This window comes from Homo sapiens, chromosome 1 (genome assembly GCF_000001405.40).
Source record: "Homo sapiens chromosome 1, GRCh38.p14 Primary Assembly".
NCBI lineage: Eukaryota > Metazoa > Chordata > Mammalia > Primates > Hominidae > Homo > Homo sapiens.
This window is the reverse complement of record NC_000001.11, coordinates 112,993,910-113,018,671: the sequence shown is the minus strand read 5'-3', so window position 1 is coordinate 113,018,671 and position 24,762 is coordinate 112,993,910. Positions and strand designations below refer to the sequence as shown.

Here is a 24,762-nt window from a genome sequence, read left to right as displayed (position 1 = left end):
CAGGTGCTCGCCACCATGCCCGGCTAATTTTTTGTATTTTTAGTAGAGACAGGGTTTCACCGTGTTAGCCAGGGTGGTCTCGATCTCCTGACCTCATGATCCGCCCACCTCGGCCTCCCAAAGTGCTGGGATTACAGGCGTGAGCCACCGCACCCAGCCTTTTTTTGCTTTTTTTTTTGAGATGGAGTCTTGCTCTGTCACCCAGGCTGGGGTGCAGTGGCATGATCTCAGCTTACTGCAACCTCCGCCTCCCATGTTCAAGCAATTTTCCTGCCTCACCCTCCCAAGTAGCTGGGATTACAGCCATGCACCACCACGACCGGCTAATTTTTTTTTTGTATTTTTAGTAGAGACAGGGTTTCACTATATTGGCCAGGCTGGTCTCAAACTCTTGAACTTGTGATCTGCCTGCCTCGGCCTCCCAAAATACTGGGATTACAGGCGTGAGCCACTGTGCCTGGCCTGTTTTTTGTTTTTTTTTTTAAAGATGCGATCTTGCTCTGTTGCCCAGGCTGGAATGTGGAGGTGTGACCATAGCTCACTGTAGCCTCAAACTCCTGGGCTCAAGTGATTCTCCTGCCACAGCCTCCCAAGTAGCTAAGACTACAGGCATGTACCACAACACCTGGCTAATTTTTAAAATTTTTTGTGGAGATGAGGTCTTACTAGGTTGTCCAGGCTGGTCTCAAACTCCTGGCTTCAAGTGAATCTCCTATCTCGGCCTCTGAAATGCAGAAAGGTACATTGAATGATACTACAGATAGCTACAGTTTTAGCTAACTAAATTTTGTCCAAATAATATTTATTAGTATTAAGGTTAACCTGAAGGGAGATCTCTAGTTGGCTGATACAAGTCTGTCTGGTCCTGTCAAACAGTTAAAAGTCAATGATTTGTATCAGAAATGTTGTGATCATCCAAATTTCTGATGACACAAAGCTGGGAGTATTGATGGCTAACATATTGGATGATGGGTTTCAGATTCAGAAGGACCTGAAAGTTCATCAACAACAGAATGGACATTGAATTGTGGTATATTATTCAAGCAATAAACTATCGTACAGCAATGAAAGTGAGTGAACTACTGCTATCAGAAACATGAAGAAACTTCACAAAGAAAATGTTGAAAGAAATAAACCAAACACACACAAAGGAGTATAGATTGCATGATGCCACATGTATGTATGTTTCCAATCCAGGCAAAACTATTCAGTGGTGTTAAAAGTCAGGACTGGTTCTCTATAGGAAGGAGGAAGGGGGCATGAGTTAGGCTTCTGAAGTGCTGGTAATAACTTTCTTGACCTATGTGGTAGTTATATAAATATGTTTGCTTTGCAAAAATTCATTGATCATTGATGTGTGCACTTAGGATTTGTGCACATTTTATATGTGTATTATGTTAATTAATTAATTATTTTTTTTAGATGGAGTTTTGCTCTTATTGCCCAGACTGGAGTGCCATGGTGTGATCTCAGCTCACTGCAACCTCCACCTCCCAGGTTCAAGTGATTCTTTTGCCTCAGCCTCCCAAGTAGCTGTGATTACAGGCATGTGCCACCACACTCGGCTAATTTCGTATTTTTAGTAGAGACGAGGTTTCACCATGTTGGCCAGGCTGGTCTCGAACTCCTGACCTCAGGTGATCTGCCCACCTGGGCCTCCCAAAGTGCTGGGATTACAGGTGTAAGCCACGGTGCCTGGCCTATTATATGTTAATTTTAAAGTTAAGAGTGAAATAGACTTGGGAGATTTATTTAACTAAAAACTCTTTTTTTTTTTTTTTTTGAGATGGAGTCTTGCTGTGTCGCCCAGGTTGGAGTGCAATGGCGCAATCTCAGCTCACTGCAAGCTCCGCCTCCCAGGTTCACGCCATTCTCCTGCCTCAGCCTCCCGAATAGCTGGTACTACAGGCACCCACCACCATGCCTGGCTAATTTTTTGTATTTTTAGTAGAGACAGGGTTTCACCGTGTTAGCCAGGATGGTCTCAATCTCCTGACCTCGTGATCCACCCGCCTCGGCCTCCCAAAGTGCTGGGATTACAGGTGTGAACCACCACCGCACCTGGCCTTAACTAAAAACTCCTGTGTAGTTCCTGATTTTGAATAAAAGAATTTTAACATTTTGCCAGTTAGTATCATAGTTGCTTTTCATTTGGGGTAAATAGTTTTTATTATGTTGAAGTAGTTTCTTTTGATTTTCTTTCACAGTTTTTGTTAGAATGGCTACTGAATACACTATAACACCTATTGCTGCAGGGATGGGGGCAAGGGGTATTTTCATGTGCTGCTACTGAAATATGAAGTGTTATAGCCTTTTTGGAAAGCAGTCTGGCAACAGCTATTATTTTAAATATACCCTTTGGCCAGGTGCGGTGGCTCACCCCTGTAATCTCAGCACTTTGGGAGGCCAAGGAGGGTGGATCACCTGAGGTCAGGAGTTTGAGACCAGCCTGGCCAACATGGTGAAACCCTGTCTCTACTAGAAATACAAAAATTAGCCGGGCGTGATAGCGCGTGCCTGTAATCCCAGCTACTCAGGAGGCTGAGGCAGGAGAATCACTTGAACCCGGGAGGCAGAGGTTGCAGTGAGCCAAGATTGTGCAACTGCACCCCAGCCTGGGCGATAGAGTGAGACTTGGTCTCAAAAAATAAAATAAAATAAAATAAAATAAAATAAAATAAAATAAAATAAAATAAAATAAAATAAAAAACAAATAAAAATATATATACCCTTTGACCCAGCAATTACAGTCCTGGGAATCTATCCTCTGAAAAAAACCATTAGTTTCAATAAAACTATTGGAGTAAAAACACTATAGGACGTATGTACAAGGACATTTGTTGCAGCATTTTAAGTGGCAACACACACACACAAATTGTGAATACTATGGATGTCCATCAATAGAGTGATGGTTGTAAAAATTATAGTACATTCACATTTTGGCACATCCATAAAGAGGAATGAATTTGTACTCTACCAGTTGACTTAGAGGGATTTTACACACAAAAATGTTTTGAGTAAAAGGCAAAAAAGTAGTCACTTTTTAAATGACAAAAAAAACTGCATTGAATATGTGTGCATTTGTATTTGTCTATATGTGATTATATGAGCATAGAGAAAAATATTAACAACTAGGTTGATAAATTGATTATGGGGGTGGAGGGGACAGGTGATGGGGTAGTAGATGAAGACGGGGGATGGTAGAGTCAAGGGAGAAAGAAAAAGTAAAATAAGAACCAGAGGATTTTTTGTAATCTCTGTATGAGCCGGTAATCTTGTATTACAGGTAAAAAATCAAATGCAGTCTTAGGGGCATTGATATATTATACTGTCACCAAATCAAAGGACATAATAATCCCAGTGTGCTTTATGCTGTTCACATCAAATCTAGCATATTCTATTAATTTCTGGACACCACACTAAAAACAAAACAAAACAAATAACGCCCTACTTGTTGCTGCCAAAATAAATAAATTGTTTTTCTTATAAGAGGAATGGTCAGCCAGGCACGGTGGCTCACACCTTAGGAAGCTGGCTCCAACACTTTGGGAGGCTGGCCAGGCACGGTGGCTCCAACAATTTGGGAGGCTGAAGTGGGAGGATCCTTTGAGCCCAGGAGTTTGATAGCAGCTTGGGCAACATAGGGAGACCCTATCTCTAACAGAGAAAAAAAGAATTAGCTGGGTATGGTGGCTCATGCCTGTGGTCCCATCTGCTTGGGAAGCTGAAGTGGGAGGACTACTTGAGCCCAGGAAATCTAGGCTGCAGTGAGCAGTGATCACACCACTGCACTCCAGCCTGGGTGACGAAGTGAGACCTTGTCTCAAAGAAAAAAAAAAAAGAGGAATACTTAAAAATCAGGCAAACCTGGGTTCCAATATCATATCAGCCACTTACTTAGCTGTGCGGCCTTGGGAAAATTACTTAATCCCTCTATGCCCCAGTTTCCTCATCTGTACAATGGGGATAATTACAGTGCTTATCCCTCAGGGTTATTGTAGAGTAATTAAAACAAACCATCTATTTGTTTCCTTTTTTAAAAGGAAGTGGCATCTAGAATAAGCTCAATAAAAATGTTCTTCTTCTTCTTATTATTATTATTATTTTGAGATGGAGTCTCGCTCTGTTGCCCAGGCTGGAGTGTAGTGGCATGATCTCGGCTCACTGCAACTTCTGCCTCCAGGGTTTAAGAGATTCTCCTGCCTCAGCCTCCCGAGTAGCTGGGACTACAGGCACCCACCACCACGCTTGGCTAATTTTCATATTTTTAGTAGAAACAGGGTTTTGCCTTGTTGGCCAGGCTGGTCTCAAACCCCTGGCCTGGTGATCCTCCCGCCTCGGCTTCCCAAAGTGCTGGGATTACAGGCGTGAGCCACCATGCCCGGCCAAATGTTTGCACTATTAAATATTTATTGTGAAACTTAGAATTTACATATAAACAAGAAAGTAAAAACATAACCATAATCTTACCTTCCAGAGTTAAACATTAACTTTTGGATGTTCATGCGTTTCCCAATGTGATCTGAAAAATCATTATGAGACCTGGTGACAGCTTAATTGGCACAAATTAGCAGCTACCAGTGTGTGAAGGGTTGTCATATGGAAGAGAGGTAGACATATTCTGTGAGGCTCCAGAGAACCACAGGAAGAAGCAAGGGTTATGATGAGAGCTGTCCAGCAATAGATTGAGCTGCCCAACACCATATGGAGCTCCTTGTTATAACAACTGAGTTTTTGGCTTGCAACCATTTGACAAAAAAAGTTATGGAAAAGACGTCAAGTTGAATGACCTCTAAAACTCTTCCTAACTCTAACTTTTTTTTTTTTTTTAGACAGAATCTTGCCCTATCACCCAGGCTGTAGTGCCGTGGTATAATCTTGGCTCGCCGCAACCTCCGCCTCCTGGGTTCAAGCCATTCTCCTGCTTCAGCCTCCTGAGTAGCTGTGACTACAGGCGTGCACCACCACACCTGGCTAATTTTTGTATTTTTAGTAGAGACGGGGTTTCACCATATTGGCCAGGCTGGTCTTGAACTCCTGACCTCAAGTGATTCACCCGCCTGGGCCTTCCAAAGTGCTGGGATTACAGGCATGAGCCACTGTGCCCGACCATAACTCTAACATTTTATCATCAAGAAATGCTTGCTATATGTATACATACATTAGATTCACAGCCTGCATAAGAGTTTGTGTGATTTCTTACTTAGTAAATACTGAGTGGTAAGGACAATTCCAAATTCATCCCATGAAAGTTAATAGGGAATTCCTAGCAGGTCATAGGTCAGATAGAAAATCTGTCCTTCATGAAACGCTGAGGACGTGCAATTCCAATTAAACCCACTCAATCTGGAGAAAGAAATCAAAGGGAGGGGGTGGGCCTGGAAAGAGTACATCTTATCTTCAGGTACTGTTTGTTTGATTTTTTTTAATACTTGGGGTTTGTTTCTGGGAAGAATTCTTGACCTGGCAAAAATTCATAGTAATTACTCAGGGGAAAGGAAAAAGAAGAAACAAACAAACAAAAAATACATTAATGTGGTTGGAAAAAAAATCTAAGAACATGGTGTTGGTGGGAGAGAAGACTAAATGTTTGTGGAAGACCCACCCAAGTGCTTTTGATGTTTGACCAGTTATTATCTTATTGTTCTTCCTGCTATAGATACAGCTGCAATTTATGTAACAGGATGTTTAAAAAGATTAAAGAGAATCTGTAGTAGGGTTCTGAGATGATAAGAGTCCCTAGAATATGCATTTATGGACGTTTAGAATATAAGTTCCTGTACATTCTTAGAATAAACCATCTATTTGTTTCCTTTTTTAAAAAAGAAACAAACAAAATTTGTATTTCAGTATGGCTGCTTCCTTCCAGCAAGTGATATGGAATAACAGGCAAAGACAGCAAACCAATAACAGAGCAAAGACAAGTTGGTGCTGGTTCAAACTGTGGCCCATGCCGGTTCTTAATTAGCTTTGAGCTTTGAGTCTAAAATGTTTTAACTCTACATTATACACGTGTTTGGAATTTATTTGGATTCAACCTGTTCATCAGAAAATGGGTTATTCTATGATACAAGCAGGATCATTGTGTGAAATTTATGACTGCAATCACCCAACGTGAAGATGAAAGTTTAAACATTTTTTTGCTAGAGGAGTTTTCAAAAAAAAAAAAAAAAAGTGTTCTATAGATGTCCCAAACATACAGAGTGACTTACTGGCGTTTAAGTCTTTCTGCCATGTGGAGTGCTATCTTAAGTGATAAATTGGCACTGGGCACTTGATAAAAGGTCATTGGGCATATTCTCCAAGTTTCTGGTGTTAGTCATGAATTAATTGCTTGTTAACTTTAATTCTCCTAGCAACCTAGGCTAATACCTACTGCACACTTGCTCTCTCTCTCTCACTGTATTTCTGTGCATGTGTATGTGCATAATTTTTTTCTGAACTTGTTTCTGTTTGATAATAACTTACAGACATGATGCCCCTTTCCATTAAGCACTTCAGTGGATATTTTCTTTTCTTTGTTTTTTTTTTTTTTTTTGAGACAGAGTTTTGCTCTGTCACCCAGGCTGGAGTGCAGTGGCGTGATCTCAACTCACTGCAACCTCTGCCTCCTGGATTCCAGCTATTCTCCTGCCTCAGCCTCCAGGTAGCTGGGACTACATGCATATGCCACCATGCCCAGCTAATTTTGTATTTTTAGTAGAGACAGGGTTTCACCATGTTGGCCAGGCTGGTCTCAAACTCCTGACCTCGTGATCTGCCCGCCTCGGCCTCCCAAAGTGCTGGGATTACAGGAGTGAGCCACCACGCCCCGCCAGTGTATATTTTCTAAAAACAAGGATATTCTCTTTCATAACCACAATTATAAAAATTAAGAAATCAATATTGATTCAATAATATTTTCTAACCTACAGACCTCATTTGAATTTGCTCAAATGTTCCAATAATGTCCATTATGGTAAAATAAATTCTATATCATACATTGTGTTCAGTTGTCAAGTGTCTTTAGTCTCCTTCAATCTGGAATAGAATTTTCCACACTTCGTCTTTCACAACCTTGACATATTTGAGGAGTTACAGGCCAGTTGTTTTATAGAGTGTCCCCTAACTTGGGTTGTCTGATGTTTCTTCACGATTACATTCAGGTTATGCATTCTTAGCAGGAATAGCACAGAAGTGATGTTGTGACCCCTACATAATATTAGTTGACTTGTTCCATTACTGTTGAAGTTAACTTTGATTACTTGGTTAAGGGGATGTCTACCAGGTTTCTTCACTTTAAAAGGACTATTTTTCCTTTTTTTTTTTTTTTTCTGAGACAGAGTCTTGCTCTGTCACCCAGGCAGGAGTGCAGTGGCACGATCTCAGCTCACTGCAACCTCTGCCTCCCGGGTTCAAGCAATTCTCCCACCTCAGCCTCCCAGGTAGCTGGGATTACAGGCGCCCACCATCACACCAGCTAATTTTTTTTGTATTTTTAGTAGAGATGGGGGTTTCACCATGTTGGCCAGGCTGGTCTTGAACTCCTGACCTCGTGATCTGCCTACTTCAGCCTCTCAAAGTGCTGGGATTACAGGCATGAGCCACTGCACCTGGCCTTTACTTTTCCCTTAATAGTTAACAAATATCTTGTGAGGAGATACTCTGAGACTATGTAAATATCCTCTTCCTCTGGCCGGGCGCCATGGCTCATGCCTGTAATCCCAGCACTTTCGAAGGCCGAGGAGGGTGGATCACCTGAGGTCAGGAGTTCGAGACCAGCCTGGCCAACATGGTGAAACACCGTCTCTACTAAAAATACAAAAAAATTAGCTGGGCATGGTGGCAGGCACCTGTAATCCCAGAATCCCAGCTACTCGGGAGCCTGAGGCAGGAGAATCACTTGAACCAGGGAGGCGGAGGTTGCAGTGGCCAAGATCGCGCTGCTGCACTCCAGCTTGGCAACAGAGCGAGACTCCGTCTTAAAAAAAAAAAAAAGGCCAGGCACGGTGGCTGATGCCTGTAATCCCAGCACTTTGGGAGGCTGAGGCGGGTGGATCACCTGAGATCAGGAGTTTGAGACCAGCCTGGCCAACATGGTGAAACCAGTCTCTACTAAAAATACAAAAATTAGCCTGGCGTGGTTGCAGGCGCCTGTAATCCCAGCTACTTGGGAGGCTGAGGCAGGAGAATTGCTTGAACTCTGGAAGCGGAGGTTGCAAGGAGCCAAGATTGTGGCATTGCACTCCAGCCTGGGTTACAAGAGCAAAACTCTTGTCTCAAAAAAAAAAAAAAAAAAAAAAAAAAAGCCCTGGTTCCTTTAGGGAGAATTGTATTTAGAACAATCTGGGTTCTAGGTGTACTAATTTGTACTGGAGTATCATGGCTTGTAGGCCCTTTCAGAGGACAGACTATCACACTAATACACAAATGCACACATATGCGCGCGCGCACACACACACACACACACACACAAATTTATAAAACTATGTGCTCCCATTGATATTTCCAATTCTGATCCAGCACTGCAGAGTTCATTCTAGCCATCCCCCTTTCCATATTTGTTTATTTATTTATTTTGAGACGGAGTTTCACTCTTTTCGCCCCGGCTGAAGTGCTATATAGCACAATCTCGGCTCACTGCAACCTCCACCTCCTGGGTTCAAGTGATTCTCCTGCCTCAGCCTCCCGAGTAGTTGGGATTACAGGCGCCTGCCACCACGCCCAGCTAAGTTTTTGTATTTGTAGTGGAGAGGGGGTTTCGCCATGTTTCACCATGTTGTCCAGGCTGGTCTCGAACTCCCAACCTCAGGCGATCCGCCTACCTTGGCCTCCCAAAGTGCTGGGATTACAGGTGTGAGCCACTGCGCCCGGCCTCTGTGGAACCACTCTTAACTACTACACCCAAGCACCCATAAATGTTCCTTCTTGCCAGGCACAGTGGCTCACACCTGTAATCCCAACACTTTCAGAGGCCGAGATGGGTGGATCACCTGAGGTTGGGAGTTTGAGACCAGCCTGGCAAACATGGTGAAACCCTACCTCTACTAGGTGGCAGGTGCCTGTAGTCCCAGCTACTCGGGAAGCTGAGGCAGAAGAATGGCTTGAAGTCGGGAGGTGGGGTTGCAGTGAGCCGAAATTGCACCACTGCACTCCAGCCTGGGCAACAGAGTGAGACTCCATTTCAAAAAAATAAAAATAAAAATAAAAGCAGAAGGAGAAAATGGAAACATGTTTATGTATTATAGGGCATTAGGAAAATATCTATTTTCCTGCTTACAGGTTTAGATTCAGGGATCTTAAACTCCAATTATTTCAGAGGACAGGCTATACTATACATGGGTGAAGCAATTAGATATAATAGGGAGGAGTAGAGACTGTGGGGGGTGGGGAATGGAAATTGCATGCCTCTTTTTTTTTTTTTTTTTTTAAGATGGAGTCTTGCTCTTGTCGCCCAGGCTTCAGTGCAATGGCGTGATCTAGGCTCACTGCAACCTCCGCCTCCTGGGTTCAAGCAATTCTCCTGCCTCAGCCTCCCAAGTAGCTGGGATTACAGGTGCCCGCCACCATGGCCAGCTAATTTTTGTATTTTTAGTAGAGATGGGGTTTCACCATGTTGGCCAGGCTGGTCTCCAACTCCTGACCTCAGGTGATCCACCCACCTCGGCCTCCCAAAGTGCTGGGATTACAGTCGTGAGTGCTGCACCCATCCGAAATTGCATGCCTCTTCTAAAGACATTAAAAATAATTTTAAGGGCTGGGCTTGGTGGCTCATGCCTGTAATCCCAGCATTTTGGGAGGCCGAGGTGGGTGGATCACCTGAGGTCAGGAGTTCGAGAACAGCCTGACCAACATGGAGAAACCCCGTCTGCACTAAAAATACAAAATTAGCCAGGCATGGTGCCACATGCCTGTAATCCCAGCTACTCGGGAGGCTGAGGCAGGAGAATTGCTTGAACCCAGGAGGCAGAGGTTGTTGTGAGCCAAGATCGCGCCATTGCACTCCAGTCTTGGCAACAAGAGCAAAACGCTGTCTCAAAAAAAAAAAAAAAAAAAAAAAATTTAAAACAGCAACAACAACAACACACGGTGCTAATCAAAGATGTCTGTGGGCTGAATTCACTTCAAAGGCAGCTCCCATTTGTGAACTTTAGCTTAGATTTTACAATTGTCTTTGTGAATTAACATTTGCCCTTGAAAGGTGTGTTTGCATGTGTGGATCTAGGTCAGTGTGTTCCAACAGTTACTGGCTGGACAATTTTAAGGATAAAGAAGCATATTTGTCACTCACAGTGGTGAGGAAACAAACACTTGGAGGGCCCATGTACCCACCTGGGCTCTTCTGTGGCCTGGAATACCAAAAGCTATGACAAGTTTGCGAGAGTTGTCTGAAGCATTTGGAGGTTTTTTTGACCAAATAACTCAGACTTGGAGAATGAACCACTGGGAGAGGCAAGAGAGAGTTCCCAGGATGAGACCAACTCTGTGAGTAATGACTGGAGGTTCCCAAAGGTAGGTGGATGACCACACAGGAGAAGTTAGGAAATGGCAGGACTGTCAGACCTGTGGGTAGGGTAAAAAGATTATAAATTAGGTTTTCTACAAGGCAACCCCCTGGGAAGGAAGTAATATCTTGATAGCTTTCCTGGGACAATCAGAAAGGTCATTTAGCAAGACCATCACTGATACTCTAAAACTTGGATGTACAAAAAATCCATAACTTGATCCATTAGTATGACTAATCTCATTTTGTTTCCCAACACCTGACTTCCTTTTATGGTGGTAGTTGCAGGGCAAGGGACTCATTTTGCTCGCCTCCCTTGTAGAGCCTTTGTGGTAAAAGTTCATTAAGCTAAAACCATAGTGACATGAGAAATTTGAGAGTGGAACACAGACTTTATTCTTAAAGCAGTGAGTCTGTGTGGCCATGAGTCTAGGTTCCTAATGAATGAGATTAAGTGAAAGTATTGATGGGACTTCTAGGAAGACAGCTTAAATAGAGCTCCTACCTATCAAATGCACTATAATTGTGCAACCAGAGCAGACTGTGTTATGTTTAATTTTTCCCTCTTCCTAAAATATTATTTCCTTAAGTTACTTCAACGATTCACTAAGTCTAATAGACTTATACTATCTTATGTGGTGAAGGTGTGGAGAATGAGGGGATAAAGAATTAAAGAAAAATGTGCCTTGCCTCACATTTACTCTTTTGCTACACCCATCACAGGGAATAATATCCTACAAAAGAAAGTGTGTCCAGGAGTTTGGGGCAGTGATCTGCAATTAAGTGAGTGGGGACCCATGATGGAGCAGATGGTTGGGGGAGAGCATATGATGCTCCTGGGAACAGCATGCAGTTTCCAAGTACTAGGGTGATAACTCTGAAGGGACATAAACCAATAACCCTCCACCTCTCCACCTACACTAGAGTAAGGAGAGAGGCTAATTCTAGCAGTAGTCATGCTAAGTGGTATTCTTTTTTTTTTTTTTGAGACAAAGTCTCACTCTCTCGACCAGGCTGGAGTGCAGTGGCACGATCTCAGCTCACTGCAACCTCCACCTCCCAGGTTCAAGTGATTCTCCTGCCTCAGCCTCCCGAGTAGCTGCGATTACAGGCATGCGCCACAACGCCTGGCTAATTCTTGTATTTTTAGTAGAAATGGGGTTTCACCATGTTGCCCAGGCTGGTCTGGAACTCCTGACCTCGTGATCCGCCCGCCTCGGCCTTCCAAAGTGTTGAGATTACAGGCATGCCCAGCCCCCTATTCTTTTAGTGTGCATTAAAACCACATAGGGGATATGACTGTTACTACGTTGGTAAAATATTATAAGGGGGCCGGGCGCGGTGGCTCACACCTGTAATCCCAGCACTTTGGGAGGCCGAGACGGGCGGATCATGAGGTCAGGAGAACAAGACCATCCTGGCTAACACAGTGTAACCCTGTCTCTACTAAAAATACGAAAAATTAGCCGGATATGGTGGCTGGCGCCTGTAGTCCCAGCTACTCGGGAGGCTGAGGCAGGAGAATGGCCTGAACCCGGGAGGCGGAGCTTGCAGTGAGCTGAGATCGCCAATGCACTCCAGCTTGGGCGACAGAGCGAGACTCCGTCTCAAAAAATAATAATAATAATAATAATAAATAATTTCAAAATCTTATAAGAGGATGGAAGATGACTATTTGCTTTTCAACAGCCTTTTCTTAGCTTACAACAGCTTTGTTTATCATTATTATTATTTTTTTTTGAGATGGAGTCTTGCTCTGTCACCCAAGCTGGAGTGCAGAGGCAGGATGTCAGCTCACTACAACCTCTGCCTCCGGGGTTCAAGCCGTTCTCCTGCCTCAGCCTCCCAAGTAGCTGGGATTACAGGCGCATGACACCACACCCAGCTGATTTTTGTATTTTTAGTAGAGACTGGGTTTCACCATGTTGGCCAGGCTGGTCTCGAACTCCTGACCTCAGGTGATCCACCCTCCTCGGCCTCCCAAAGTGCTGAGATTACAGGTGTGAGCCTTCACACCCAGCCATGCTTATCATTACTCTTAATAGAGCTTATGAGACTATAACTAAAATAATCATAGTTTCCAACTGAAAAATTTTTGAACTTCATGATCTGTGGAATAAAGGACTTATGAGATAAAATATGAAATCTGGACCTTTCCAGATAATTTAGGACATATCATTGCCCCAACCAAAACACATAGGCAAACTCATGGGCATGTATTAATAATTACCTTTATGCTCTTGAAATTGTAATTGTGACCTCCCTTAATTTAGAGGCTCATTAAGGAAGGATTAAGTTTATGTTGCTATCTCTTGAGTAAAGTTTCAAAAGTAAGGTTTAAATCAGGGAATGGGTCAGAATAGCTATATTCTCTTTTTCAGTTCTGGGTGGTTTCTCTTTTTTTTTTTTTTTCTTTTTTTGAGACGGAGTCTCGCTGTCGCCCAGGCTGGAGTGCAGTGGCGTGATCTCAGCTCAGCTCATTGCAACCTCCACCTCTGGGTTCAAGCGATTCTCATGCCTCAGCCTCCCAAATAGCTGGGATTACAGGCACGTGCCACCACACCCAGCTAATTTTTTTGTATTTTTAGTAGAGATGGGGTTTCACTGTGTTAGCCAGGATAGTCTCGATCTCCTGACCTCGTGATCTGCCTGCCTCGGCCTCCCAAAGTGCTGGGATTACAGGCATGAACAACTGCGCCTGGCTTCTGGTGGTTTTTATAGCAATCTGTAGCAAGATAGATACAGAGCTATGGGAGTGGAAAAATTCCTCTTACTTTTTTCCTTTTGCTTTTTATTTTTATTTATTTTTTATTTTATTTTTTTGAGACAGAGCTTCACTCTTGTTGCCCAGGCTGGAGTGCAACGGCACGATATCAACTCACTGCAACCTCCGCCTCCTGGGTTCAAGTGATTCTCCTGCCTCAGCTTCCCGAGTAGCTGGGATTACAGGTGTGCGCCACCACGCCTGGCTAATTTTTTGTATTTTCAGTAGCGATGGGTTTCGCCATGTTGGTCAGGCTGGTCTCAAATTCCTGACCATATGTGATCCACCCGCCTCTGCCTTCCAAAGTACTGGGAATACAGGTGTGAGCCACCGCACCCAGCCTTCTTTTTTGTTGTTGTTTTTTTGAGAGGGAGTCTCACTCTCACCCAGGCTGGAGTGCAATGGCGTGGTCTCAGCTCGCTGTAACCTCCACCTCCCGGGTTCAAGTGATTCTCCCGCCTCAGCCTCCCAAGTCGCTGGGACTACAAGCACATGCCACCACACCCGGCTAATTTTTGTATTTTAGTAGAGATGGGGTTTCACTATGTTGGCCAGGCTGGTCTCCAACTCCTGACCTCGTGATCTGCCTGCCTCGGCCTCCCAAAGTGCTGGGATTACAGGCATGAGCCACTGCACCCAGCTTCCTTTTGCTTTGTAATCATTATAGATGATTTGGGAGGTTATTTGCCAAGTGAAGACCAGCCCTCCTGAAATTTCTTCCCAGTTTTCCTAGACCTAGTAGATGCCCAACTGCTTAACATATTCTCTTCGGTTGGTTCTCCTCATATCAAATATCAACTTGCAAAATATTCTGAGAAGTGAGACAAGCAGTGTCCACGTTCTCCCATGAAGGAAGCTAGCAAAAATAAACTAAGGCCCCCTGCTTTAAGGGTAAAGGTCATATTCCACTCTCCAATGTTTCTATTATTTCAGCCTAGTGAACTTTCACCCACAAAAGACTTTCTTTGAACAGTGTGATCAAAAACAAAAACAAGGTCTTTAATTCTTTTTTTTTTTTTTAGATTGTTTACTTACAGCTAAACCTTTAGACAGGAGGCCAACTCTCAGTGGTCACTTTCAAATAGGTTTACTTTGGACTGGCGAGATTTTTAAAAAATTCTCAGCTTTCAAATAGACACGTGAATGATGCCAGTATTCTTGACTTTATCTGTTTTTCTGAAGCATTTACTCTCTCTAAGGGGACACCTTAGGGGAGTACTATGGATTTAAGAGAATGACTTTAATGGGGACTCTGTCCCAAAAAAAAGTCCGGGTGCAGTGGCTCTCGCCTATACTCTCTGCACTTTGGGAGGCTGAGCAGGCAGATCGCCTGAGGTCAGAGGTCAGAAGTTTGAGACCAGCATGACCAACATGGAGAAACCCCCCCGTCTCTACTAAAAATACAAAATTAGCCGGGCGTGATGGCGCATGCCTGTAATCCCAGCTACTCAGGAGGCTGAGGCAGGAGAATCGCTTGAACCCAGGAGGCGGAGGTAGCGCTGAGCCGAGATCTCGCCATTGCACTCCAGCCTGGGCAACAAGAGCGAAACTCCATCTCAAAAAACAAACAAAAAAGGCAAATCTATTTTTTATATTCTTTGATAAACAGCATAGGGAACTATACTTAACGTGTCTCAGGACATTTTAAATCTAGTATGTATACATTTGTTGGCATTTGAAGAGTAAGCTTCAAATATCTACAAATTTCACTCACATGGGAGAGAAAAGTTAATGCCTTCATTTATTCATATGTTGGTTCAAAGAAGGTTTGACAGGTTGGGTGTGGTGGCTCACGTCTGTAATCCCAGCACTTTGGGAGGCTGAGATGGGCGGATCACGAGGTCAGGAGATCCAGACCATCCTGGCTAGCACAGTGAAACCCCGTCCCTACTAAAAATACAAAACTTAGTTGGGCATGATAGCATGCCTGTAATCCCAGCTACTCCAGGGGCTGAGGCAGGAGAATCACTTGAACCTGGGAGGCAGAGACTGCAGTGAGCGGAGATTATGCCACTGCACTGCCGCCTGGGCAACAGAGCAAGACTCTGTCTCAAAAACAAACAAACAAACAAACAAAAAACAAAGAAGGTTTGACTCTCTGCATATCTTTTATGTTTGTCTCAATCATGTCTTAATGGACCCATTTTATTTAAAATTCCCTCAGCTCAGAGGTAATCAACTCTTTTCAGTTTGCTGGGACATTCCCAATGCTAAAACTGGAATAAGTCCCACACACCAGGAAATCCCTCTGTCCAAGAGTCAAAACTGCAGCTATTTAGCCCAGACAATTAATCCCAACACTTTGGGAGGCCAAGGCGGGTGGATTACGAGGTCAGGAGTTCAAGACCAGCCTGGCCAAGATGGTGAAACCCCGTCTCTACTAAAAACACAAAAATTAGCTGGGCGTGGTGGCGGGTGCCTGTACTCCCAGCTACTCAGGAGGCTGAGGCAGAGAATTGCTTGAACCCAGGAGGCGGAGGTTGCAGTGAGCAGAGATCGTGCCACTGCACTCCAGCCTGGGCGACAGAGCGAGACTCCATCTCAAAAAAAAAAAAGAAATCTATCATGTCCCCCAATTTAAAGAAACTTAAAAAAAAATGTAGACACAAGGTCTTGCTATGTTGCTCAGGCTGGTTTCAAGGGATCCTCCTACCTTGGCCTCCCAAAGTACTAGGATTAACAGTATAAAGCCACAGTGCCCTGCCAATGCCATCCCTACCAGCAGTATTTTTTTTCTTTTTAATCTTCAAACAACACGTCTTCTCCCTATTTAACATTTCTCATATTCTTTTATAATTGTGATTACTCTCTTCTGAATACATTTTTATTTGACCGTATTCCTCTTAAATTGTAGTTTCTAGAAATAACCAGCAGAGTAGAGTGGATGCGTCCCCTCCTTTGTTCTAGAGTCTATGCTTCCTTTAATTCAGCCTAATATCTTAATATTTTTCTTGGAAGTCATTAACATCGATTAAGTTCTCATCTACTAAAACTTAGAAGCATTTTTCTCATGTACTTCTGTTAGGCTATATTCCTTATCTTGTACTAGTGCAGTTATTTTTTCTTAGTTTGAAGTGCAGGATCTTACATTTAACTTTGTTAAACTTAGTTTTCAAACTCTCTCTGTTTTTTTAAAATCACTTATTCCCAACTTTGATTCCTAGGTTTGATGAACACACTTTCTAGGACTTCATTCATGTCAATTGCAGAATTATTAAAAGGACAAAGCCTTCTTTGGAAACTTTTCTTTATGTTTATATTAATCCATTAATTAATTTTTACTTACAACAATTTAATGCATTTCTGGTTAACCTAATTTACTTAAAAACTCATATTTCTTTACTTCATCTAATACAAGGCTAATGTGATGGGAAAGTAAAGTTGGCAACAATAGATACCGCTTTGTGATGATAAAGTATTTTGCTACTTCCATCAAAACCATAGACTTGCTTTCTAAGCCACATGTTTTTCCACCAAAGATGGTATTTCCTATTGCTATGATTTGAATGTGTCTCCCAAATTTTATGTATTCCAAACTTTAATCCCCAATGCATATGTTGATTAGAAGTGGGGCCTTTGGGATGTAATCAGGATTAGATAATAGGTTAGGTCATCAGGGTGGGGCCTCCATGATGTGACTGGTGGGTGGCTTTAAAAGAAGATGAAGAGGGCCAGGCGTGGCGGCTAACGCCTGTAATCTCAGCACTTTGGGAGGCAAGGCAGGTGGATTATAAAGTCAGGAGTTCCAGGCCGGGCGCGGTGGCTCACACCTGTAATCCCAGCACTTTGGGAGGCCAAGGCGGGCAGATCACGAGGTCAGGAGATCCATCCTGGTTAACACTGTGAAACCCCGTCTCTACTAAAAAATACAAAAAAATTAGCCAGGCGTGGTGGCGGGTGCCTGTGGTCCCAGCTACTCGGGAGGCTGAGGCAGGAAAATGGTGTGAACCTGGGAGGCGGAGTTTGCAGTGAGCTGAGATCGCACCACTGCACTCCAGCCTGGGCGACAGAGCAAGGCTCTGTCTCAAAAAAAAAAAAAAAAAAAAAAAAAAAAGAAAAAAAAAAGTTCAGGAGTTCCAGACCAGCCTGGCCAATATGGTGAAACCCCATCTCTACTAAAAATACCAAAAAATGGCCGGGCACAGTGGCTCAAGCCTGTAATCCCAGCACTTTGGGAGGCCGAGGCGGGCGGATCACCTGAGGTCGAGAGTTTGGGACTAGCCTGACCAACATATAGAAACCCCGTCTCTACTAAAAATACACAATTAGCCAGGCACTGTGGTGCATGCCTGTAATCCCAGCTACTCGGGAGGCTGAGGCAGGAGAATCGCTTGAACCCAGGAGGCAGAGGTTGCAGTGAGCTGAGATCGCGCCACTGCACTCCAGGCTGGCGACAGAGCGAGACTCTGTCTCAAAAAAAAAAAAAAAAAAAAAAAGAAGCCGGGCGTGGTGGTGCATGCCTGTAATCCCAGCTACTCGGGAAGCTGAGGCAGGAGAATTGCTTGAACCCAGGAGGTGGAGGTTGCAATGAGCTGAGATCGCGCCACTGCACTCCAGCCTGGGCGACAGAGTGAGACACTGTCTCGGAAAGATTAAAAAAAAAAAAAAAAAAAAGAGGAAGAGAGGCCTGAGCTGACATGCATGCTCTTGCCCTCTCACCATGTGATTGATGCCCTCCGCCATGCTATGATGCCGAGATGCCTCACTGAATGTTGGCACCATGCTCTTGGATTGCTCAGCCTCCAGACTGTAAAAAATAAACCTCTGTCCTTCATGAATTCTCAAGTCTCAGATATTCAGTTACAGCAACAAAAAAATGGACTAAAATATCTATTGTGATTTTCCAACTTATTTACTGTGTTTGTCACTAAGCAACTTTTGGTAATTAAGAAGATCAAATCTTAAAGAACAAAAATTTGCCCTTGTTAAGGATGTTCAAAAAATATATCAAGGATTTCTCAGGTAATTCCAAAAGAAGAGCTTCAAGTAAACTTAAGAATAAATATATATTCTTCCAAATCTATTCCTTTAAAAGGCACAAAACACTTTGGAACTGCAAGTTTTGCTGTATTTGTTAAACCATCAGAGACAGTTTAGCCCATTAGTCAAATACATAAGCTTTGGCCTGGTTCAACTCCTGGTTCTACCACTTGCCAAGTGTTTGACTTTGGGCAAGTTTATCAGTGCTTAGCACAATACCTAACATCTAGTGAGAGCTATAAAAAAGGAGTGTGATATTGTAATACATATATTTGGTTTTCAACCCCATTTCTTGACCTACAACTTCTAAAAAAGCCTTACAGTTTCCAAAGTGATGGGTTTTGTATGCTAGTGAGATGACTGATGGTGAGGGGCTGGTCACCAGAAAGACCAAGGCATAATTAGAGGGGTGGGACTTTTAGCCCCAGCCCCCAGCTTCCAGGGAGGGAAGAGGGGCTGAAAGTTAAGTTGCTCACCAATGGCCAAAGGTGTAATCAATCGTGCTTGCATAATGGAGTTTCCATAAAACCCCCAAAGAACTGAGTTTGGAGAACTTCTAGATAGCTGAACACATGAAGGTTCCCAGAGGGTGGCAAGCCTGGGGAGGGCATGCAAGTTCTGTGTCCTTTCCTGTACCTCGTCCTATGCATCTCTTCATCTCTTCATCTGTATCCTTTATAATATACTTTTTTTTTTTTTATAGACAAGAGTCTCACTGTGTCGCCCAGGCTGAAGTACAGTGGCACAATCTCAGCTCACTGCAACCTCTGCCTCCTGGGTTCAAGTGATTCTTCTGCCTCAGGCTCCCGAGTAGCTGGGATAACAGGCATGCACCACCATGCCCAGCTAATTTTGAACTTTTAGTAGAGACGGGGTTTCACCGTGTTACCTGGGTTAGTCTCGAACTCCCAACCTCAGGTGATCTGCCCACCTCAGCCTCCCAAAGTCCTGGGATTACAGGTGTGAGCCTATTTTAAGATTATAGCATAATCTTGCTTACCAGGGAGCCATTTTACCTCTTTACTAAGACTTTGAATAACTATACTTTGACCCACTGTGCATTGATCTCAAGGTTAAAATCTGAAAGGGCAACTTTAATTCCATGGTTTCATAGGGAGTCCTCTCACTGAGGCTCCAAAGTATTGAAAGCAGCAATAAGAGACAAGATCCCTCTGGTAGAAGCTGCCTTCTTTCTGAAGGTTTTGCTGGTTGGCTCTCCAACTTCAGAAAGAGAGAATGTCGCCATCAGATTTTTGCCTGTCTACCGAAAACAAAGGATAACAAACACTGTTTCTGTAGCTACCAAAGAGACAGACTGCTTGGAGAACGACTTACATAGCTCTGCAGACGCCCTGGTGGTGCCAGCTCCAGGGGAGTCGGTGCACATGGTGTGAAGCAATTTTTTTTTCCTGGCTTTTTGCCATAGATTCAGGCAGCTACAGCAACAGCAACAGCAGTGGTTCTTACTCACATGCAGAGCTTCCAGAATGCTTGGGAGTTTCCTGAAGATAAAAACTTGTGAAAGATAAAGGTAGAAGTTATACAAGGTAGAGCAGCCAAGACTTAAAGGAGGACAGTTGCCCTCAGAACTTTTGAACCCCGGGTAACTGCCAAGCTTAAAGTCAAGGAAAGAATGCTCACTGCCTGCATGTGCTACATGACACCTTGCACAGCAGATCACAGAGAAAGAATAGCATGGACAAACTCCTCTCCTTCTGCATCTTCACGGTACAAGGAAGAGGAAGAGGGTCCTGGGGGAACAGAGTTTTTCCAGCATTATGGAGCTGCCACATTGGGAAAACATAATGAGAACTGAAGCCCCTGACTATCAAGGCCAACTCTTTCCAACTCTTTTCAGCCACATGGAAAGAATCTCAGGTAAACCCAGAGCTCCCGGTACATGGACACAGAACACTGGGTACACTCAATTATACCCACAGCCTCTTCCTAGAGTGTTCTCTAGATGATGCTAGGACAGACGGGTAGGGCAGATCAGGGGAGTCTAACTACAGTTACTGATTTTCTTCACTCAAGGCCAACTAGGGTTCTAGACAGCCAAGCTCACTCATGAGGCCCCAAAGTACTCACAGCAGCAATAAGAGACAAGATCCCTCTGGTAGAAGCTGGTGATCAAGGTATTGTGATTTCTTTTCATATCCCACCTCTTTCCAACATTCACATATTAAAGTGAAGCCCCCACCAACTCAGTATGAAGACTTGGCCCTGTTATACCTCCAGATTCTTGCAAGAGGTTTGTTTTCTGAACATTTCCCTCTGTGTACACCCCTCTTGTCTTAATTGGCCCTACCCACTGAGGTGGATTCCAGATCCTTCTCCTGTATCTTTGGCTTGGCTCAAGCCTCTGGCCCCTCCACTGCAAAGTCTAAAAGCAGGGAGATGGCCAAAATAGGCAGTGAGGGAAGAACAGAGGCATTCCTCTTGCATCTGCTCAGTCTCTCAGCAATCCTCTGTCAGGGAAGCTCTCAGGGTTACTGCCTGGCCTAGAGAGTCTCCCTTTCCTCACTGCATAAGAGAAGGGTGAGACACAGAACAAAGTCTCTCAGAGGCTGTCTGCTGCGTGCTGAAAGTCAGCCACTGTTGTTGAATATGGGTGTTCTCCATAGGCTCCATTCTGGGTGTAACTCCACAGAGCCGTTTTCTGGGTCTATTTCAGCAAGGGTCTGGATGAGTATTCTTCCAACATGACTCCTTGCCATATCTCTAGTTGTCATTGGCTCTCAGGGGAGTTGCTGTTCACGGTTTTCACAGGTTAACTGCTATTGTTGTTATTATTATTAGCTGGCATGCAGAGTGGCACACTTCAACAAACCCCGGCAGTAGTGACAAGCTACCACTTTAGCAAAGTTTGACTAATTGATTAAAAAAAGTTTTTGAACATTGGCATGTACATGAAACACTTGATGATGTAGATGGAAATAAAGATAAACAAGAAAATGAATTCTCTTCTCCAGGAGGTTACATTCTAATGGAGACATAGGTGCAGACATAAACCATTCTAATATAAAGTCCAGATAGAAGGACAGGTCACGGCCGGGCGCGGTGGCTCACGCCTGTAATCCCAGCACTTTGGGAGGCCGAGGCGGGTGGATTATGAGGTCAGGAGATTGAGACCATCCTGGCTAACACGGTGAAACCCTGTCTCTACTAAAAATACAAAAAAATGAGCCGGGCTTGGTGGCGGGTGCCTGTAGTCCCAGTTACTCAAGAGGCTGAGGCAGGAGAATGGCGTGAACCCAGGAGACAGAGCTTGCAGTGAGTCGAGATCGCGCCACTCCACTCCAGCCTGGGCGACAGAGCGAAGACTCCATCTCAAAAAAAAAAAAAAAAAAAAAAAAGGACAGGTTACAGTTATAATGCTCACACCTGCTAAGTTGAAGGAGAGCATTTTCACCTAGGAGGCCACCAGATAGATGTCTGTTGACTTCCTGGGATATCCTGATTCTGTTTTTGCTTAAGAAACCAACATCTGACCCGGCGCGGTGGCTCGTACCTGTAATCCCAGCACTTTGGAAGGCCGAGGTGGGCAGATCACTTGAGGCTAGGAGTTCAAGACCAGCCTGGGCAACATGGTGAAACCCCGTCTCTATTAAAAATGCAAAAAAAAATTAGCCAGGTTTGATGACGGGCCCCTGTAATCCCAGCTACTCTGGAGGGCTGAGGTAGGAGAATCACTTAAACCAGGGAGGCAGGGTTGCAGTGAGCCGAGATAGCGCCACTGCACTCCAGCCCAGGCAACAGAGTAAGACTCCATCTCAAAAAAAAAAAAAAGCCAACATCAAGGTTAAAAAAGGCAACTGTGGCCAGGCACGGTGGCTCACACCTGTAATCCCAATGCTTTGGGAGGCCGAGGTGGGCAGATCACTTGAGGTCAGGAGTTCAAGACCAGCCTGGGCAACATGGCGAAATCCTATCTCTACTAAAAATACAACAAAAATTAGCCAGGTGTTGTGGCGGTCGCCTGTAGTCCCAACTACTCGCGAGGCTGAGGTACAAGAATCGCTTGAACCCAGGAGGCGGTAGCTGCAGTGAGCCGAGATCGCGCCACTGTACTCCAGTCTGGGCAACACAGTAAGACTCTGTCTCAAAAAAAAAAGAAGAAAAAAAGGCAATTGTAACATGTCAAGCACCATAAAATAGATACTTAGTAATGCCTTATGTGCATATAAGAGGAGTTTGCTATGTTATCATTTTCTTTTAAATTGATCTCTTAAATTAGTCAAATAGGTTGACCTGTTAATCACTTCCCTTTTGCTTCTCTTCCCTGTTCCTTCGGGCAACTAACATGAGAACAAACAAAGTTCAGTACCAGGAATAAAGTTGACTCATACTCTTAGGCTTTCTCTCCTTTTAGAACACATTGATTGAAGACTTGGAGTGGGGTGACATTCATTCTCATAGGGAAAAAGATAAAGTCGCCAAAGCAGAAAGGTTAAGAAGGGAGCAGGGAATATGAGGTGAAGAACTAGGAAACAGTGGCTATTGGACTGTCTTTTTTTTTTTTTTTGAGACAGTCTCACTCTGTTGCCCAGGCTGGAGTGCAGTGGCATGATCTCAGCACTCTGCAACCTCCGCCTCCCGGGTTCAAGTGATTCTCCTGCTTCAGCCTCCCTGTAGCTGGGATTACAGGTGCATGCCACCACGTCCAGCTAATTTTTTCATATATTATTTTTTAGTAGAGACAGGGTTTCACCATATTGACCGGACTGAATTAGACTGCTTTTGACAAAGTTTCTTCATCTCAGAAGAAAAGTCTGTTTCGTGAAGATCATATTCCAGGTAGAAAGATGAAGATGAGTAGAAATCCCACATATTCTGTCCCAACATCTTAGAGGAAGAGAATAAGTTGTGACAACACAAATAGTATCTTTGTGACCTGGTACCAGTCCATGCTTTCCGGGTCTAGAAAATTTAAAAACAAAATGGATAGAGTACAGGTTCCAATACACAAAATTAGCAGTAAAGAGAGGTGGACTGAGCTGGGCGCAGTGGCTCACACCTGTAATCCCAGCACTTTGGGAGCCCAAGGAGGGTGGATCACCTGAGATCGGGAGTTTGAGACCAGCCTGACCAATATGGAGAAACCCCATCTCTACTAAAAATACAAAATTAACTAGGCGTGGTGGCGCATGCCTATAGTCCTAGCTACTCAGGAGGCTGAGGCGGGAGAATCCTTTGAATCCAGGAGGCAGAGGTTGCGGTGAGTTGAGATTGCATCATTGCACTCTAGCCTAAGCAACAAGAGCGAAACTCTGTCTCAAAAAAAAAAAAAAAAAAAAAGAGGTGGACCGTTTTCAAGGCAGAAATCTCAATGGTGCCACTGAGTAATTTCAGGTCAAGAGATAAATGGCCAGACGCAGTGGCTCACCCCTATAATCCCAGTACTTTGGGAAGACGAAGTGGCTGGGTCACTTGAGGTCAGGAGTTCAAGACCAGCCTGACCAACATGGTGAAACCCCATCTCTAATAAAAATACAAAAATTAGCCAGGCATGGTGGCGGGTGCCTGTAATCCCAGGTAGTTGGGAGGCTGAGGCAGGTGAATCGATTGAACCTGGGGGGCGGAGTTTGCAGTGAGCTGAGATCACACCACTGCACTCCACGCTGAGCAACAGAGTGAGACTGTCTCAAAACCACAACCACAACAACAACAACAACAAAACAAGAGGGTAGAATTGATGTCTCTCCCTCCAGTGAGTTCTTAAAGGCTTTTTTTTTTCTGTGTCATGCCTTTGTTTCTTTACTATCTAAATTATCACTGAAGTCTGTATATGCTATTGAAAATATTCGTTTGTCTTCATATAAACTCTTAACTACTTAAGGGCAGCAATCATGTCTTCATACCCTCAGTGGCAACTAGCTCAGTGCCGACTCTTATTAGGTCATTAAGAAATGTCACTGGATTTGATGTTTTAGGAGAATTGGACTTCAAGGGTAAACAGCTGCAAGGTCTGGCAATCCATAGGTCTGGCCAAGAATTACCACGAGGCAAGACAACATTTGGCAATTACAAGGGCATTCCAGTGAAGTGGAGTGTCAGATTTTGCAATAGTTCTGCAAATAAAATAGATTTTTCTGGAGCGGCTGGGTTCTTGGAAAAACACGCGTTGATGGCAAAAATTAATCTGGGTCCCACTTTTATAGAGATCACGCAAGATATAATCTCTGCCAGAGTCAAATAAGAAGTGGTGATATTAATAAATTTTCTGGGCCGGGCGCAGTGGTTCACACCTGTAATCCCAGCACTTTGGGAGGCCGAGGCAGGCAGATCACGAGGTCAGGAGTTCGAGACAAGCCTGGTCAACATGGTGAAATCCCATCTCTACTAAAAATACAAAAATTAGCCAGGCATGGTGCCACATGCCTGTAATCCCAGTTACTCAGGAGGCTAAGGCAGGAGAATCACTTGAAGCCAGGAGGCAGAGGTGGCAGTAAGCCAAGATCATGCCGCTGCACTCCAGCCTGGGCAACACAGCAAGACTCTGTTTCAAAAAATAAAAAAAATAAATTTTCTGGGT

At 44.0% G+C, this 24,762-nt stretch overlaps 1 long non-coding RNA gene across 1 annotated transcript in view, besides 2 other annotated features; it reads left to right on the top strand.

Annotated features, from left to right (window-relative positions):
* Positions 1–6,985, top strand: part of LRIG2-DT (LRIG2 divergent transcript) — a 61,416-nt gene extending 54,431 nt beyond the window's left edge. Inside the window, exon 3 of the long non-coding RNA NR_103777.1 lies at positions 4,833–6,985. This is a non-coding gene — a long non-coding RNA (LRIG2 divergent transcript). The remainder of the gene's footprint in view (positions 1–4,832) is intronic.
* Positions 19,274–21,238: an enhancer, noted in NCBI's record as "VISTA enhancer hs1672". NCBI's record gives its function as "enhancer in: heart[7/7]" and the evidence as "EXISTENCE:transgenic organism evidence [ECO:0001131][PMID:17130149]".
* Positions 22,150–22,326: a silencer, noted in NCBI's record as "fragment chr1:113538968-113539144 (GRCh37/hg19 assembly coordinates)". NCBI's record gives its function as "represses an EF-1alpha promoter that drives an FKBP-Casp9 reporter gene in an ReSE screen in K562 erythroleukemia cells {active_cell/tissue: K562}" and the evidence as "EXISTENCE:reporter gene assay evidence [ECO:0000049][PMID:32094911]".